The 17338-nt window shown below is 38.0% G+C and overlaps 1 protein-coding gene across 64 annotated transcripts in view; it reads left to right on the top strand.

Moving 5' to 3' along the window:
- The window catches only part of TBC1D5 (TBC1 domain family member 5), a 585470-nt gene that overhangs the window by 4061 nt on the left and 564071 nt on the right, over window positions 1–17338 (top strand). The window lies entirely within an intron of this gene.

Below are 17338 nucleotides of genomic sequence, written 5' to 3'. Positions count from 1 at the left end.
TATTTTCAGCTATTAATAATAATTTTAATATTTTTACAAATTCTGTATGATTATGATATGTGTTATAATGCCATGCTGGTCAGCTACTTAGTCTCACAGTGCCTCACTTTTCTCATCTTTAAAATGGGGAAAATAATAGTAACTTTGAGAATTAGAGAGAGAGAGAGAGTGTGTGTGTGTGTGTGTGTATGTGTGAGTGTGTGTTTAAAGCCCTTAATGCTATCACGTAAGTGATAGATATTCTGTGGATAATCTACAGTGTGGTAGATCATATCTATATAATCAAGACTGACTATATTTTTGGAGATTGTACAGTTTATTTGGGATAAGGCTCTATGGGCCAAGAAAGCAGAGTTTGTACTTTTTGGATGAAAATACAAAATTGGTATAGTAATGCTCTTATCCCTTTGGAGAATTAAATGCAAATAAATATAGTTTGACAGCTCAGATCTTTCAAAACAAGAAAGTAGGGCTGTAGAAAAAAACATGTCTTTGGTGATGGTGTGAAAGGATTGGTTAAAATCTTTCAAGGGTAGTGTTGCGAAGCCTAGTACAGGATCACCTTTTTTTCTGAATGTCCATTAGTTTGGATGAAAAACATCTAAAGATAATGTCATTCAGTCATTGTCCAGTGTTGCATGTGGTTTCTGTGGCTAACTCCAGGAAAATATTCAGTAATTGCAGATTTACTCTTTTTCTTAATTCAGTTGCCTAGAAAAGATGTTAACTGGGTTTTTTTTTTTTTGAAACAAAATAGTCTTAAAAGTTTTGAAATAGGCATTACAGATGATTACATGTTATCATAGTTTTTTTGTTAAGACAAGAGTGTTTACCTTTACTTTTTTGCTAGTGATGAAGGCTACATGAAGAAGAGTGATTGACTTTTTAAAATGGAATGATGTAATTTTATGATACTTTATGGAAGAGTAGTGTGTATGTATGTCTAAAGAAAATTCTGCTATGAGTGCATGTATTAGATCCAGTAATCACAGTATGTTAGGTTAGCCTGCCATTAGAAAAAAGAGCCACCTCCCCCCATTATAGAAAGTAATGCCTATTGTTGAAATTTTATAAAAACAAATGATGAAAAATAATTATCTGCACTGTTGAGAATTTCTTAAGGTTCTCTTCAGGGCTGTCTTGCCTTGAGAGATACTGCAAAATGAATGTCAGTTTTGTACCACAAGTATTAGTTTAGAAAGCTGAGTAACACATGTTGGTTAAGCAGGAGTGTTTTATCTTCTAGGGTTACTAAACTTTTTGTCCCTAAGTAAGATAAAAAGGTTGAACCAAAAGTACTTAGATTCCCACTTCTAATTGTGAGTCTTCAGAATAACTAGACCAGTGAGAAGTAAGCCCCCACTTCTGACATAAGCACCATGGGGAAGATACATCAGAGAAAAACGGCTCCCACCTGATGGAGTTGGAATAAGCACATATCTTAGGAACCGGCTGCAGAGGTATGCATTCTGTTTGCTGATAAGTGGGGATCAGAATGAACCCCTTTAGAGTTTCCCACAACAGGTGGGAAGTGTTTTTTTTGTCTTTTTTTTAAATTGAGACAGAGTCTCACTCTGTCACCCAGGCTGGAGTGCAGTGGCGCGATCTCTACTCACTGCAACCTCTGCCTCCTGGGTTCAAGTGATTCTCCTGCCTCAGCCTCCTGAGTGGCTGGGACTATAGGTACATGCCACCAAGCCCAGCTAATTTTTTTGTATTTTTAGTAGAGACGGGGTTTCACCATGTTGTTCAGGCTGGTCTCAAACTCCTGACTCAGGTGATCCACCCGCCCCAGCTTCCTGGAGTGCTGGAATTACAGGCATGAGCCATTGCACCAGGCCTCCAGGAAGTGTTTTGACTTTATATTGAGACTTTGGAGGTGTCCCAGCAGCTACCTGGCAGAAGTTCTAGAGGAGTTCCTAACGTTACATCTCTTGCCATCCTGGGATGGGATAGTGGATTGATTGCCTTGGATCCCTGGTGGAGCTTTGGGGAACAAGGTTGGAGACGTGGAGTTGATAGGAGATGGAAAGGTAGTGCCACTATTTCCATGTTTGTCTACTGCATATTCATTAAACTAGACCCCTTTTACTTCCATGAGGAACAAGAGTCTAAAGGTAAGAGTGCTCATTTTTATAAATAGATGGGGTGACTTAGGAAGACTTGGGTCAAATTGCCTCCTCACCCACCTTCATTTCTCTAAGATTGGGGTTAATTTAAGTCTCTTTATCCTGTGGCATGTGTGTGTGCAAGTTTGTGTGTACCTATAGATCTACCTTTTTAATTTTAATTTTATTAAATTTTATTTTTTAGAGACAAGGTCTCACTCTGTTACTCAGGCTGGAGTGCAGTGGTATGATTATGAGAGGCAGGACTAGCTGGATTTCCTAGGCCGACTAAGAATTCTTAAGCCTAGCTGGGGAAGGTGACTGCATCTGCCTTTAAACACAGGGCTTGTAACTCAGCTCATACCCAACCAATCAGGTAGTAAAGAGGGCTCACTAAAATACAAATTATTCTAAAGCAGGAGGTAAAGAAATAGTCAAATCGTATATTGCCTGAGAGCACAGTGGGAGGGACAATGATTGGGATATAAACCCAGGCATTAGAGCAGGGAGCGGCAACCCCCTTTGGGTCCCCTCCCTTGTATGGGAGCCCTGTTTTCACTCTATTAAATCTTGCCACTGCACACTCTTCTGGTCCGTGTTTGTTACTTCTCGAGCTGAGCTTTCGCTCGCCATCCACCACTGCTGTTTGCTGTCGTCGCACACCTGCTGCTGACTTCCACCCCTCCAGATCCAGCAGGGTGTCCGCTGTGCTCCTGATCCAGCGAGGTGCCCATTGCTGCTCCTGATCGGGCTAAAGACTCGCCATTGTTCTTGCATGGCTAAATGCCTGGGTTCGTCCTAATTGAGCTGAACACTAGTCTCTGGGTTCCATGGTTCTCTTCTGTGACCCATGGCTTCTAATAGAGCTATAACACTCACCGTAAGGCCCAAGGTTCCATTCCTTGGAATCTGTGAGGCCAAGAACCCCAGGTCAGAGAACAAAAGGCTTGCTGCCATCTTGGGAGTGGCCGCCACCATCTTGGGGGAGTTCTAAGAACAAAGACCCACTCATAACAATTATACCTCATTCCAGCCTCATATACCTTTTTAAAAAAACTGAAATGGATTCAGCTATTTTGTTGTTTGCAGTTGTTTTTCACCTAATACGATATTACTCATGTCATTAGTTTTCTACGTAACTTTTAGTGGCCCCATACTATTTCATTGTATGAATGTACCATAAGTAGTCCTCCATTCTTAGACACCTAGATTTCTTTCATTCTTCATGATAAATAGTGCTACGTTGAACACTATTATAGCTAATATCCCTCTGTGCCTATGCATTATTTATTTAGGAGAAATTGTTATGGGTGGAATTGCTGGGTCAAAAGATTTTCTCATCTTTATTTTTCATTTTTATTATTTTTTTTAAGACAAGGTCTTGCTCTGTTGCCCAGGCTGGAATGCAGTGGCACGATCACAGCTCACTGCGTCCTTGAGCTCCTAGGCTCAAGTGATCCTTCCACCTCGGCCTTCTGAGTAGCTGAGACCACAGGCACATGCCACCATGCCCAGCTAATTAAATTTTTTTTTTTTTGTCGTAGAGACCATGTCTCTCTATGTTGCCCAGGCTGGTCTCAAACGTCGGGGCTCAAGCTATCCTCCCACATCGGCCTCCCAAAGTGTTTGGATTATATTTGTGAGCCACCACGCCTGGGTTGCCCATCTTTAACAGTTGTGTTATACATGGCCAAATTGCCTACCAAAAAGATTATGCCAGTTTACCCTTTACAACAAAGCCATTTGAGAGGCCTTTTACATGCCATTATTGGGATTATCATTTTTGTTAAACAGCTTTATTCAGGTTTGACTTTATACTTCCCTTCTCTTGCCTTCTTACAGGTTTTAACATTTTATGTAGCTAAGTCTTGTTCTTCCTTTAGGTATCTTACGTAGATAGGCTTTTCCTACCTTATGTTTATATAGTGATTAATTTTATTTTTTCAACTGTTTTCGTACTTTCATTTTCAATTTTTGGTTTTGCAGTTATTCTAGAACATGTTTAGTTGTACAGTATGAAGTAGAGGGTCCAAAAAATTTTAAGCTTTTGATTAGCCAATTTCCTCAATACTGTTTAATGAATGATTTCTTCTTCTGTGGATGTCAGAAACTTTACTATTGGGTCTTCTATTCTGTCTCACTGTATTTTATTTTTTATTTTTATAAATGGGATTTCTCTCCCCCTCCGCCCTCCACATATATATGTAGGTATATAAAACATTTATAAAGGTTTGTATATAGTGTATTAGAAAATACATTGTATGAATGTACTATAAGTAGTCCTCCATCTTTAGATACTTAGATTTCTTTCAATCTTTATGACAAATAGTGCTACACTAGACATTATTACAGCTAATATCCCTTCGTGCCTATGCATTAATTATTTGGGAGAAATTATTGTGAATACAATTGCTGGGTCAAAAGATCTGCCCATCTTTACTTTTCATTTTTTTTTGAGGCAGGGTCTTGCACTGTTGCCCAGGCTGGAACCCATTTTCTTTCTTTAATGCTGTATATATTTTCTTAACCTGACTATTGCTGGTAAATAGAAGAGTTTTTAACTTCTTTTGTGTATTTATTGTGTAACCAGTCGCTTTTTGAATCTGTTATTTATTATAATGGCTTTTCAGTTAATTCTCTTAGATTTTCCAGGTACATAATCATACCATCTGGAGCCAGCCATTTTTTTTAAGGGTTTTTTCATGATTAATTTTGACTTACGGAAGTTGTGCTAGAATGATTTTTCTTAATTTCATTGACTTGAAATACAATGTTTTGATATGGTACCTGTGTTTTATCTACTCAGCTCTCAAAAGGGTTTTAAAATATCTGGAAAATCACTCTACCAAATGATCTCTAAGGACCCTTCTAGCTCAGAAATTTTGTGATTCTACTTTTATGTCAAAAGATTCCTGGTAATGTACGTAGCTCTCTTCCTTTATAATTATTGCTGTCTAGCTCCACCCCCCCCAAGTGATTACTCTGCACTTTTATTTCCTTAGAACTTGAAGATTTTTTCTGTGTGGTTTAGCGTAAATTAAAAGAGAAAACTGACAGACTACAGAGCTCAGACTGTGCAAAATCACATTTCATGATTTTCTTCCGGTAAGATCCTTATGGTGAGTTTACTCATCAAGCTATGTTCCTGCCATGGACTACTTAAAGTTCCCCAAGCCACATTTTGTAATTGTCAGAACTGAGGTTAATAGAAGTCATTGGGAAGTGATAAATAGACCTGGATGCAGTGAAGATAGGACAGAACGGGAGAGGTAGGAATGGGGAAGCACCTAGTATGAACTCTTCTTTCTCTGGCCCCCTTTCTGCTTCATGATTCTCTCTCTGGACTCCATTGATTCTGCCCTCTTACTGATTTTCTGGCTTCCTGTTTATTTTCTAGATATACCTTGTCTCCTTTCTTTCAGAAAATTGCTCCTTACCTCCTTTCTACTTTGATCAGGAGTACTATATGCTTTCTACCAGTATGGGAAGTGGTCCTGATCAGTTTCCCTAATGTCCCCATCTTGTCACAAAACTACTACAAAATTTCATGATCAGTGGCAATCATGTATTCCACTTTGCAAAGGGTGTGGCAAAGTATTGATTAAAGTTGAGTGTCCTTATAACATGAAACTACTGATATGGAAGAATTAATGAAAGGAGAGACAGATACTTCATAAAGACAAACGGTCAGAGAATTATAGATATATATTTAAATTTTATTTATTTATTTATTTATTTATTTTTTTGAGACGGAGCCTCGCTCTGTCACCCAGGCTGGAGTGCAGTGGTGTAATCTTACTGCAACCTCCCATTCTTCTGTCTCAGCCTCCTGGGTAGCTGGGATTACAGGCGAATGCTACCAGGCCTGGCAAATTTTTGTATTTTTAGTAGAGTTGGGGTTTTGCCATCTCTTCTGGTGGCCATCTCTATTGGTCAGGCTGTTCTTGAACTCCCGACCTCAGGTGATCCATCCGCCTTGGCCTCCCAAAGTGCTGAGATTACAGGCGTGAGCCACCGTGCCCAGCCAGAAAATTATAGAATAGTAACTGAGTGGTTGAATGTTACAAAGTAGATAGTGTGGGAGTAGTGTCACCAAGATGGAAAAAGCTTCTGAAGAGTCTTTTTTTGTTTGTTTTTTGTTTTTTGAGATGGAGTCTCGCTCTGTTGCCCAGGCTGGAGTGCAGTGGTGTGACCTTAACTCACTGCAATCTCTGCCTCATAGGTTCAGGGGCTTCTCCTGCCTCAGCCTCCTGGGTAGCTGGGATTACAGGCGCCCACCACCATGCCCAGCTAATTTTTGTATTTTTAGTAGAGATGGGGTTTCACCACATTGGCCAGGCTGGTTTCTAACTCCTGACCTCAAGTGATCTGCCTGCCTCGGCCTCCCAAAGTGCTGGGATTACAGGTGTGAACCACTAGGCCTGGCCCGAAGAGTCTGTTATCTTAGACCTCCAACCTGATTTCCTCCCTGAACTTTCAGATCTGTGTATCTGATTGCCTACTGGATAACTCCACTTCTTAATGGCTCACAGGAAACTCAGTTTAGTAAGTCTGCAACAGAATTTACCTTCTTCTCTTACAAAAAATCTTTACAAGTGTGTGTTTTTTAATTAAATTAATTTTTTTTTTAATCTCAGCACTACCATCTCCCTAGTTATTCAAGCCAGAAACGTGGCAGACACATTTTACTCCATTCTCTACATCCTCATGTACAGGCATCAAACTCAACCCTGTGGATTTGAACCCATTGTGTCTTCATCCCTACTATGTCTTCTCTAGTTCAGGTCCCCATCATCTCTTGCCTTTGTTTCTGTAAGGTCTTCTGACTGGTGTCCCCGCAGCCAGGTAGGTAATCTTTTTAAGCTCTCACGATTCTCTTATTCTGTGGCTTAAAACCTGATATTCTCCATTGCCTATTTCCAGTCTCATGACACCCTCTTTTTTTTTTTTTTTTTTTTGAGACAGAGTCTTGCTTTGTCGCCGGGCTGGAGTGCAGTGGCACGATCTCAGCTCACTGCAACCTCCGCCTCCCGGGTTCAAGCAATTCTCCTGCCTCAGCCTCCTGAGTAGAGTAGCTGGGACTATAGGCGTGTGCCACCATGCCCAGCAAATTTTTGTATTTTTATTAGAGATGGGGTTTCACCATGTTGGCGAGGATGGTCTCAATCTCTTGACCTCGTGATCCGCCCGCCTCGGCCTCCCAAAGTGCTGGGATTACAGGCGTGAGTCACTGCACCCAGCCTCATGACCCCCTCTTCTGCCTCCCTTATATTATGTGATTTTGTAAAAAAGTAAAAAATACTGAAATTCTTTGATTTTGGAACTGTTCATGTTTTTGCTTGCCTTGGGCACAGAGTAGTTTTTCTGTCTCTTCATCTTACTCACTTTTGTAAGGTCTTAGCTTAAATGCCACTCTGTTCCAGGAAGCTTCTTTATACTACCAAGTCTGTGTTGTGCTCTTCCTGTTTGGCCAAATACTCTATACTATAATATTTATGTATTACTCATAATACATAAATATTATGAATTATGAATTATAATATTTATTGTGAATTATAATTACCTTTTTACTCATTAGTCTATGTCATGCTTTTGACTGCTCTGTGAGTGCCAGGGCCACGTATAACATCTTTACTTTAATACTTCTGGTGGCGTGCTTGTTAAAAATAGATGTCCAATACCAGGTACTGTTCTATGTGTTAAAAATACAGCAGTAAATAAGAGGCTGTTCTGGTTGTTAACTGCCGTGTGACAAATGGCTTCAAAACTTTGCAGCTTAAAACAACAGTAATATTTATTTACTCATGATTTTATGATTTTTGTAGGACTCATTGAGGGTAGTTTATCTTCGTTTCATCTGGTGTCAGCTCAGTGGGGGTTAGATTATCTACTTCCAAATGGCTCACTTACATAGCTGGCAGTTTATGCTGGCTGCTGTCCAGGAGCTCAGCTAGGGCTATTTACTAGAGGTACTAAATGAGGCCTTTTCCTGTGGCCTGGCCATGACTGGTAGTTTCTAAGAAGGAGTGCTCTAAGAACAAGCATTTCAAGAGGCAAAAAGTGGAAAAACCTAGTCCCCTTAAAGGCTAGGCTAGGAACTGATAGAGCATTACTTCTGCTGTATTTTGTTGGCTAAGAAGACAGAGTCAGCCCAGATTCAAGAGGAAGAGAATTAAACTCCATCTATTGGTGGAGAAAATGACAAAGAATTTGCAACTTTACTTAATTTGCTACACAAACTTAAAATACAAAAAATGAAACTACAAAAATTGTGGAATGAATTAATTCCTGTCTATACTTTCGTCTTCTTAAGAATCAAAGTACAACATTAAGTATAATTTTTTTTTTTTTGAGATGGAGTTTCACTCTTGTCCCCTAGGCTGGAGTGCAGTGGTGCATTCTTGGCTCACTGCAACCTCCGCCTCTCTGGTTCAAGCGATTCTCCTGCCTCGGCCTCCTGAGTAGCTGGGATTACAGGTGCCTGCCACCACGCCCGACTAATTTTTTTGTATTTTTAGTAGAGATAGGGTTTCACCATGTTGTTCAGGCTGGTCTTGAACTCCTGGCCTCAGGTGATTCGCCCGCCTTGGCCTCCCAAAGTGCTGGGATTACAGGCGTGAGCCACCATGCCTGACCAACATTAAGTACAATTTTAAAAAGTGACCTTTGTTCTCACTCTTCTTGAACAATTTTACTTAATGTTCTTTATTGCTGTAATTATTCAGATGGTTTCCTAATTTTGTTTGTTTGTTGTTTTTGAGACAGTCTCGCTCTGTCTCCCTGGCTGTAGTGCAGTGGTGTGATCTTGGCTAACTGCAACCTCTGCCTCCCAGGTTCAAGCGATTCTCCTGCGTCAGCCTCCTGAGGAGCTGGGACTACAGGTGCGTACCACAACGCCCAGCTAATTTTTTGTATCTTTAGTTGAGATGGGGTTTCACCGTGTTAGCCAAGATGGTCTCGATCTCCTGACCTCGTAATCTGTCTGCCTTGGCCTCCCAAAGTGCTGAGATTATAGGCGTGAGCCACCTCGCCCGGCCTGGTTTCCTAATTTTTACATTTTAATTGAGCATGTAACTTAATCAGTTTTGTGTTCTGTTTTTTTTTTTTTTCTCTCAAATTTCATCTTTCACAAATCCTTATGCACTGATAGTACCCTAAGCATATTTCTGGAGTTGAGATTATTGTATGAGAGGGTATGTGTAATAGAAATTTTGGTACTTAACTGCAAAACTGCCTTATAGAAAGATAATTTATACCTCAGCTTTTAGTGCAGGAGAGAACTAATTTGTTTAGAACATTGCTATCAGAGGGTGTTGTAAATCATTGTTTTTGGTTAGTCTGTTGGCAAAAATTGATAGATTGCTTTTATTTTTCTTTCTTTATTGCCTGTTTGAGCCTTTGTTTATTTTTGGGGATATTCACTTTTTTTTTTTTTTTTTTTTTTTTACTGATTTTCAGGTGCACTTGAGTATTGTATCTTTAACTCTATGCCTATCATATATTGGAAATATTCCCAACATTGTTTTTAAATTTGCTATATATTTTTAAAATTCTTATTAAGAACTATTACATTTTTATGTAGTCTCATATATTACTCTTTTTGTTTACGATTTTTGGTTTTGGGATAATGTTAGAAAGACTTTCCCTATTCCAAAATTATAAAACTGTTAACACTTAATTGATGCTACATTTTTATGGTTTCATATTTTTATGTATAAGTCTTTGACCTATTTGAAAATATTTTTTCTGTGTACAGAGAAAGTAAGGAACCAAATTTATTTTTTTTTCAAATGGCTCGACAACTTTTGTAGCATAATTTATTAAGTTACCTTTTTTCCACAGATTTGAAGCACCACCTTTATTAAATTCAAAATGCCCATATGTTCTTGGATCTGTCTCTGAAATCTTGGATTTATTCCATTGAGCCGTTTGTCTCTATATGTATCAGTAACAAGTTCCTGTAGCTCTTAGTACATTATAATATCTGAATAGGACCAGACTTCCCTCATTATTCTCTTTATGAATTTTTTTTGGTTGGTCTCACATGTTTACTTTCATGATTTTTGATAGTTTTTCAGTTGATTCTCTTTGGTTTTCTAGGTAGAAAATACCTACAAACATTGGTGAATGTTCCATCTTCCTTTCTAATATTTACGCCTTTTTATTTTGTTGGCTTATCTAATTCCTTTGGCTACCACTTTCAGAATAAATTTAATTAATAGTGATGGCAGCCAGGCTCCTTGTTTGATGCCTGATGTTAATGGCAATGTTTCAAATATTGCTCCGTTAAACATTGTGCTGACTTTGGTTAGGGTGTGTGGGTATGCGTGTGTGTGCTCTTTAAAATCACATATAACATAATTTCTGTAAGGTGTGGATGTTGACTGTTATCAAATGCCTTTTTGGGTTTCTCTTGACATAGTTATATTTTCCACCCTTTGTCCTTCCAATATGGTGAATTATATTAACAGATTTTTCTAGTATCAAAATATTGTTATGTTCTTAGAGTGAACATTTATTGTATATTACTTTGTAATATAGTGTGGATTTCTACTTGCTAATACTCTTTTGGATGTTTGTAGCCATAGTCATTCATAAGCGAAACAGGCATGCAGTTCTATTTATGTGTTCTCTTTGTGAAGTTTAACATCACTGTTTTACAGGTTTCATCAAAATAATATCCTTTCTCTGTGCTCTGGAACAGTTTAAAGAGCATGTCATTGAAATAACTCACCTATTTGTGTAGGCCTGGTGCTTTTTGTGGAGTATTCCTTTGTTTATTCTCTTAGCTTCTTCCTTGGTTATTTATGTGTTAAATTTCTCTCATTTCTTGGATCAATTTTGGTAATTTGTGTTTTTCTAGCAAAATCATTTATTTCATGTAGATTTGTGGACGATTAACAATTTAATAAACGTTTGGGTTATTTCCCCTTTTTGGTGATTTCTGCTTTTGTTATTGTTTCTTATGACTCTGTTTCTTGGCAGAAACAAGATTGAACTCAGTTCTCCTTTATTTATTATCTTTTCACCACACTGGCTAAGCTTCCAGTTGTTTCAAATACTTAATTTTTGTACTTTTTTTGAGACCGAGTCTCACTCTGTCACCCAGGCTAGAGTGCAATGGCACGATCTTGGCTCACTGCAACCTCTGCCTCCCGGGATCAAGCGATTCTCCTGTCTCAGCCTCTCGAGTAGCTGGGATTACAGGCATGCGCCACCGTGCCCAGCTAATTTTTGTATTTTTAGTAGAGATGGAGTTTCACCATTTTGGCCAGGCTGGTCTCGAACTCCTGACCTCGTTATCCACCTGCCTCAGCCTCCCAAAGTGCTAGGATTACAGGCATGAGCCACTGTGTCCGGCCAATTTTTGTACATTTTAAGTATTGCTAGTGGGGGGACAATCAGTAGACCACTAAATTCCACAGCCGTTATACATATTTCTATTTGAAGACTTAATTTCAGAATCTTACTATCTATTAGTAGCCGTATAATAGGATTGATCTGTTAGATTTGGTAAGATTCTATTCTAGACAGTATTGGTGGAATCAAGTTGAGTAAAGAGGTTATTCTTTGCTGTCAGTGTTACGTAGTTCCACAAAATGAAACTTTTAGTGATTAAGATATAAAAATATGAAACCTTTTGAAATAGAAAACAGGGTAATATGGTCAGCTTGTTTACATAGACAAAGTAATTTTCTGAAAACAACTAGAAGAGCAGGATAAAATATATTAAAAAGGTTTATTCTTTCAGAGCTAACATGCGTAGCAGCAAAAGAAATCATCAGCAAAGTAAACAGACAACCTACAGAATGGGGGGAAATATTTCTAAACTATCCATCCAACAGAGGTATAATATCCAGAATCAATAAGGAACTTAAGCAATTGAACAAGCAAAAAACAAACAATCCCATTAAAAATTGAGCAAAGAACATGAACAGGCACTTTTCAAAAGAAGACATACATATGCAGCCATAAGCATATGAATAAATGCTCAGCATCATTAATCATTAGGGAAATGCAAATCAAACCCACAATGAGATACCATCTCATACCAGTCAGCAATGGCTATTACTAAAAAGTCAAAAAATAACATGCTGGTGAGGTTTTATAGAATAAGGAATGCTTAAAAACTGGTGGTGGGAATGTAAATTAGTTTAGCCATTGTGGAAAAGTAGTGTGGTGATTTCTCAACTTAAAATAGAAGTATCATTTGACCTACAACCCCATTATTGGGTACATGCCCAAAGAAATATAAATTTTTATATCATAAAAACACATGCACACGTATGTTCATTGCAGCACTGTTCGCGACGGCAAAGACATGGAATCAACTTACATGTCCATCAGTGGTAGACTGGATAAAGAAAATGTGGTACATACACACCATGGAATACCATGCAGCCATAAAAAAGAATGACATCATGTCCGTTGTAACAACATGGGTGAAGCTGGAAGCCATTATCCCAAGTGAACTAATGCAGGAACAGAAAACCAGATACTGCATGTTCTCACTTGTAAGTGGGAGCTAAACATTGAGTACACATGGACACAAAGAAGGGAACAACAGACACTGGGGCCTACTTGAGGGTTGAGGGTGGGAGGAGGAGGGAGATGATCATAAAAGTACCTATTGAGTACTGTGTTTATTGCCTAGGTGATGAAATAATCTGCACACCAAACCCCTGTGACATGCAGTTTACGTATATGACAAACATGCACATGTACCCCTGAACCTAAAATTAAAAAACAAATTACCAGGACTGAATCTATATGAAGGCAGGAATTCAGAGAGAGAAGCAGAGTATTAAAGACTGCTTTTCTTCTGAGGACATTTGCCACATTCTGAGGAGCTTTTACTTTGCTTTTGAAGGCCTCACAAGGCACAGGATATAGAAATGGAAGCCCAGGATGGCCCAAGGTGGGGAGTCTAATAAGAAATTCCTTCCCTATAAAACTGAGACTCCAAAGAGCCATGCCTGTAGAGTATGAGCGAACCAAAATTAAAACCCTGCTATGCTCTTGCCCACAGGAGGCTGCAAGAAAAGTTGCCTTGGACCTAAAAAAAAAAAAAAATACTTCTTCGCTCCTAAGTAGTTATAACAACTGGCCTTCTCTCTCTTGGATTTGCAGTTCATATTTTACTTTGCCTGGTACCAAAAAAATCCCTCAAGCTGTAACTTAAAGTGGTTTTAGATGCCTCACAGAAAGAAATGAAAATCCTTTCAGAATACATTTTAATTTTAGGCTCCAGGGAATTGTCACAAATAATTTTCCATAGAATTAGTTCACAGTAAATTATAACCAAGCACACAAGGAAACATGATACCATGAGTAAGAGGCAGCAAAAACGACAGAAATAGACCCTTAAAAACTTTGGATATTGGAAATATCAGACAGAGATTATAAAACAACTGTATTTATTGATGGAAAAATATCTGCTGGGAACAAGAAACTTAACACATTTGAAAAAGACCTAAGCAATGAAGCCTCTACAAGTGAAAAATGCAGTAATAATTATAATGAAAAAGTTGGGTGTAGTTAACAGCAGATTGGATACAACTAAAGAAAGAGATACACAATGACCTAGATATATGAGTGAAGAAATTATCCAGAATGTATCACAGAGAAGGAAATGGGCAAAAAGAAAGAGGGTAAGATATATATTTATAAACACACACATACACATATTACATAAAATGAGAAAGTGACATGTCTTTCATTAGTTTTCCAAGAGCAGAAGGGAAAAATAATGGGAAAGGAATAGACAATATTTGATGAGATAATAGTTGAGAATGTTTCAGAGCTGATAAAAAGCACCATGACAAATTTGAGAAGCTGAGAGAACTGCAAGCAGAATAACGTAAAGAAAATATGCTTCTAGAGACATCATAGTAAAATGAAGAACATCAACAACAAAGAAAATCTCTTAAAAGTTGCCAGAGAATAAAAGATTACCTTCAAAGGAGCTGAGGCAGTTACAATGATAGCTGACTATACAGGGGCAAAAATGGAAGCCAGGAAACACTGGAGTGATATCTCAATGTGCTGGAAAAAAATTTGCCAATCTAGGCTGGGTGTGGTGGCTCATGCCTGTAACCCCAGCACTTTGGGAGGCTGAGGTGGGAGGATTGCTTGGGCCCAATAGTTTGAGACCAACCTGGACAGCATAGTAAGACCCCATCTCTACAAATACTTTAAAAAAATTAGACGAGCATGGTGGCGTGTGCTGGTGGTCCCTGCTGAGACCATAGGCACAGCCATTTGGGAGACTGAGGCTAGAGGATTGCTTGAGCCCAGTGAGGCTGCAGTGAGTTGTGATTGTGCTACTGCGGTCCAGCCTGGATAACACAGAGTGAGAGTTTGTCTCAAAAAAAAAAAAAAAAAAAAGTTGCCAATCGGGATTTCTATACCTGATGAAAATATATTTCAGGAGTAAGGGTAAAATAGTGAAATAGACATTTTCAGATAGAATTGGAAAATATTCTCTGATTTTAAAGAGAACATGTATAGATAGATATATTTTCTGATTGGTTCTAGTATTATAATGAAGTATTCTAATGTAGTTGACCCTTGAACAGTGTAGGAGTTAAGGGTACCCACTCCCTGTGCAGTTGAAAATCCATTGATAACTTTTGACTCCCTCAAACTTAACTACTAATAGCTTACTGTTTACTGCAAGCCCCACCGACAATATAAACAGTTGGTTAACACATAAATAGACTGGTATCTACATGTATTTTATGCATTAATTTTGATATTTGTAGGCTGTGTGGTTCATCTGAATTTTTTCAAATTGTTGTGAATCTCCAAAAAATTTTTTAAATATATGTTTTGAAAAAATCCACGAGTGTACTGGCAGAGTTCAAACCCATGTTGTTCAAGGGCAAACTGTATAAGCAATTCTGAGCTTCACATAATTATTTTATTCTTAGAAAATTATTGTTTATACTTAGTAAACACAGATACTGTTTGGCAGTACTTTTACCAATACATTACTCCAACTTTTGGATCTTTGCTCTGTTCAAAATCATCAGTATTTTTGTAGGAAATCTTTTGTGGTGTGATTAATGGATGTTTTTAAGTCTTGCTCTATTAATAATGTATTTTTTTATTTTTACTTTTTTGGTTTCTTAAATTTTTTAATTTTTGTGGGTATGTAATAGGTGTATATATTTATGAAGTACATGAGATGTTTTGGTTCAAGCATGCAGTGTGAAATAATCACACATAGAGAATGGGTATCCATCCCCTGAAACATTTATTCTTTGTATTACAAACAATCAAATTACACTTTTAGTTACTTTAGAATGTACCATTATTATTATTGTCTAGTCACCCTAGACAATAATATAGTTAATAATAGTTGCACTATATAATAGTAGGTTTTATTCATTCTTTAGAACTATTTTTTGTACTGAATGACCAATTTCACCCCAATAATGTAATTCTTAATATTCATATTTGAAATGGTAAAATGCAAACCACATTTGGGGAAAACCATGTCCTGCTATTTGCAAAAATTAGTCCTGGAAATTACTTTACTCTCACTGCCCCAGTCCCAAATACATTTCTGGGGAAAAAAATAGTGGGAGATGTGTTTTTCATCCATGAACAAGGTTTGTGTAAGGGAGATCCTAGGATAGTGGGAAGAGCAAACAGACCTTAAAGTTAAATGGATCTGGATTAAAATCTGGCTCCACCACTTAGTAATGCAATCATGCTCAAGTGACAACTGTTCTGAGACTTAGTTTTCTCATTTGTAAACTGGGGATAACGACTACCTTGCAGGTGTATTGTGGGTGTATTGCAGTTATGTTTGTAAAAGGCACTGAGGACAGTGTATGACTCTGAGTGGGTTCCCAAGATATTGCAACTTAAAAATTGTTACTACAGGTTGAGCTTTTGAAAAATTGAAATCTGAAATGATCCAAAATCCAAAACTTTTTGAGTGCAGATGTGACACCAGAGGTGGAAAATATCAAACCTGACCTGTGATGCATCACAGTGAGAACTTTGTTTTATGCACAAAATATTGTGTAAAATTACCTTAAGGCTATGTACATAAGGTATAAATGAAAGATAAATGAATTTTATGTTTATACTAGGGTCCCATCTCCAGGATATGTCATTATGTATATGCATATATTCAAAAATTTGAAAAAAAATCTGAAACACTTCTGGTCCCAAGTATTTTGTATAAGGGATACTTGTGCTGAGTAAAATAGAAGCGTTAATTAAATCTGGCAAGGAGGTTGAAATTGTACAAATAATATAAAAGAATTGATGATACTTTTAATATAGAAGAGTTAAGGACGTTGATAGTAATGATACTTTTTTTTGAAGGCAAGAAAATATCAGAATAAGGCTTTACCTGTTGATTTGATGGTTAGTTTCCCATAACGTTGGTTGTGTATGTTGCTCACAGGTCAGGCAACTTCACATTATTATTATTATTAGTAGTAGTTAATTAATTAATTTTTTGAGACAGTGTCTTGCTCTGTCGCCCAGGCTGGAGTGCAATGGCGTGATCTCGGCTCACTGCAATCTCTGCCTCCTGGGTTCAAATGATTGTTTTACCTCAGCCTCCCCAGTAGCTGGGATTACAGGCATGTGCCACTACCGCTTGGCTAATTTTTGTGTTTTTAGTAGAGATGGGGTCTTGCCATGTTGCCCAGGCTGGTCTTGAACTCCCGAGCTCAGGGAATCTGCCCGCCTCGGCTTCCCAAAGTGCTAGGATTACAGGCGTGAGCCACCATGCCCAGCCACATTATTATTATTATTACTATTTTTTGAGACAGGGTCTCACTCTGTCGCCCAGGCTAGAGTGTAGTGGCACAATCTCGGTTCACTGCAACTTCCACCAGCCAGGCTCATAGCTTCACATTTTTCATGACACTTATGAAAGAGGCAGTGGCATGAAGGCAAGATGAAATTAGTGACTTTATTTAAAAAGTTAAAAAGATTGCCAGCCACAACACACACACACACACACACACACACACATGCTCTCACACACTTACTTTTCTGTCTCTTGATGTTGAAGTTCATGTTGACAGTTAACTTACGGTAAACCTGAATTTTTTAATATTAATTCAGTTAAAAAAATGGTTATAAACTATGTACTTGACATTACACTTTTGTTTTCCAAAGGTAAATTTATTGACCTACAATAATTTAGGATAACAGCCATCAGAGAACTCTAATTACTGTTTAAGAATACTTATTTCTAT

Source organism: Homo sapiens, chromosome 3 (assembly GCF_000001405.40).
Source record: "Homo sapiens chromosome 3, GRCh38.p14 Primary Assembly".
Taxonomy (NCBI): domain Eukaryota; kingdom Metazoa; phylum Chordata; class Mammalia; order Primates; family Hominidae; genus Homo; species Homo sapiens.
Note: the sequence above shows the minus strand (reverse complement) of the source record. Positions and strands in the feature narration are given on the sequence as shown.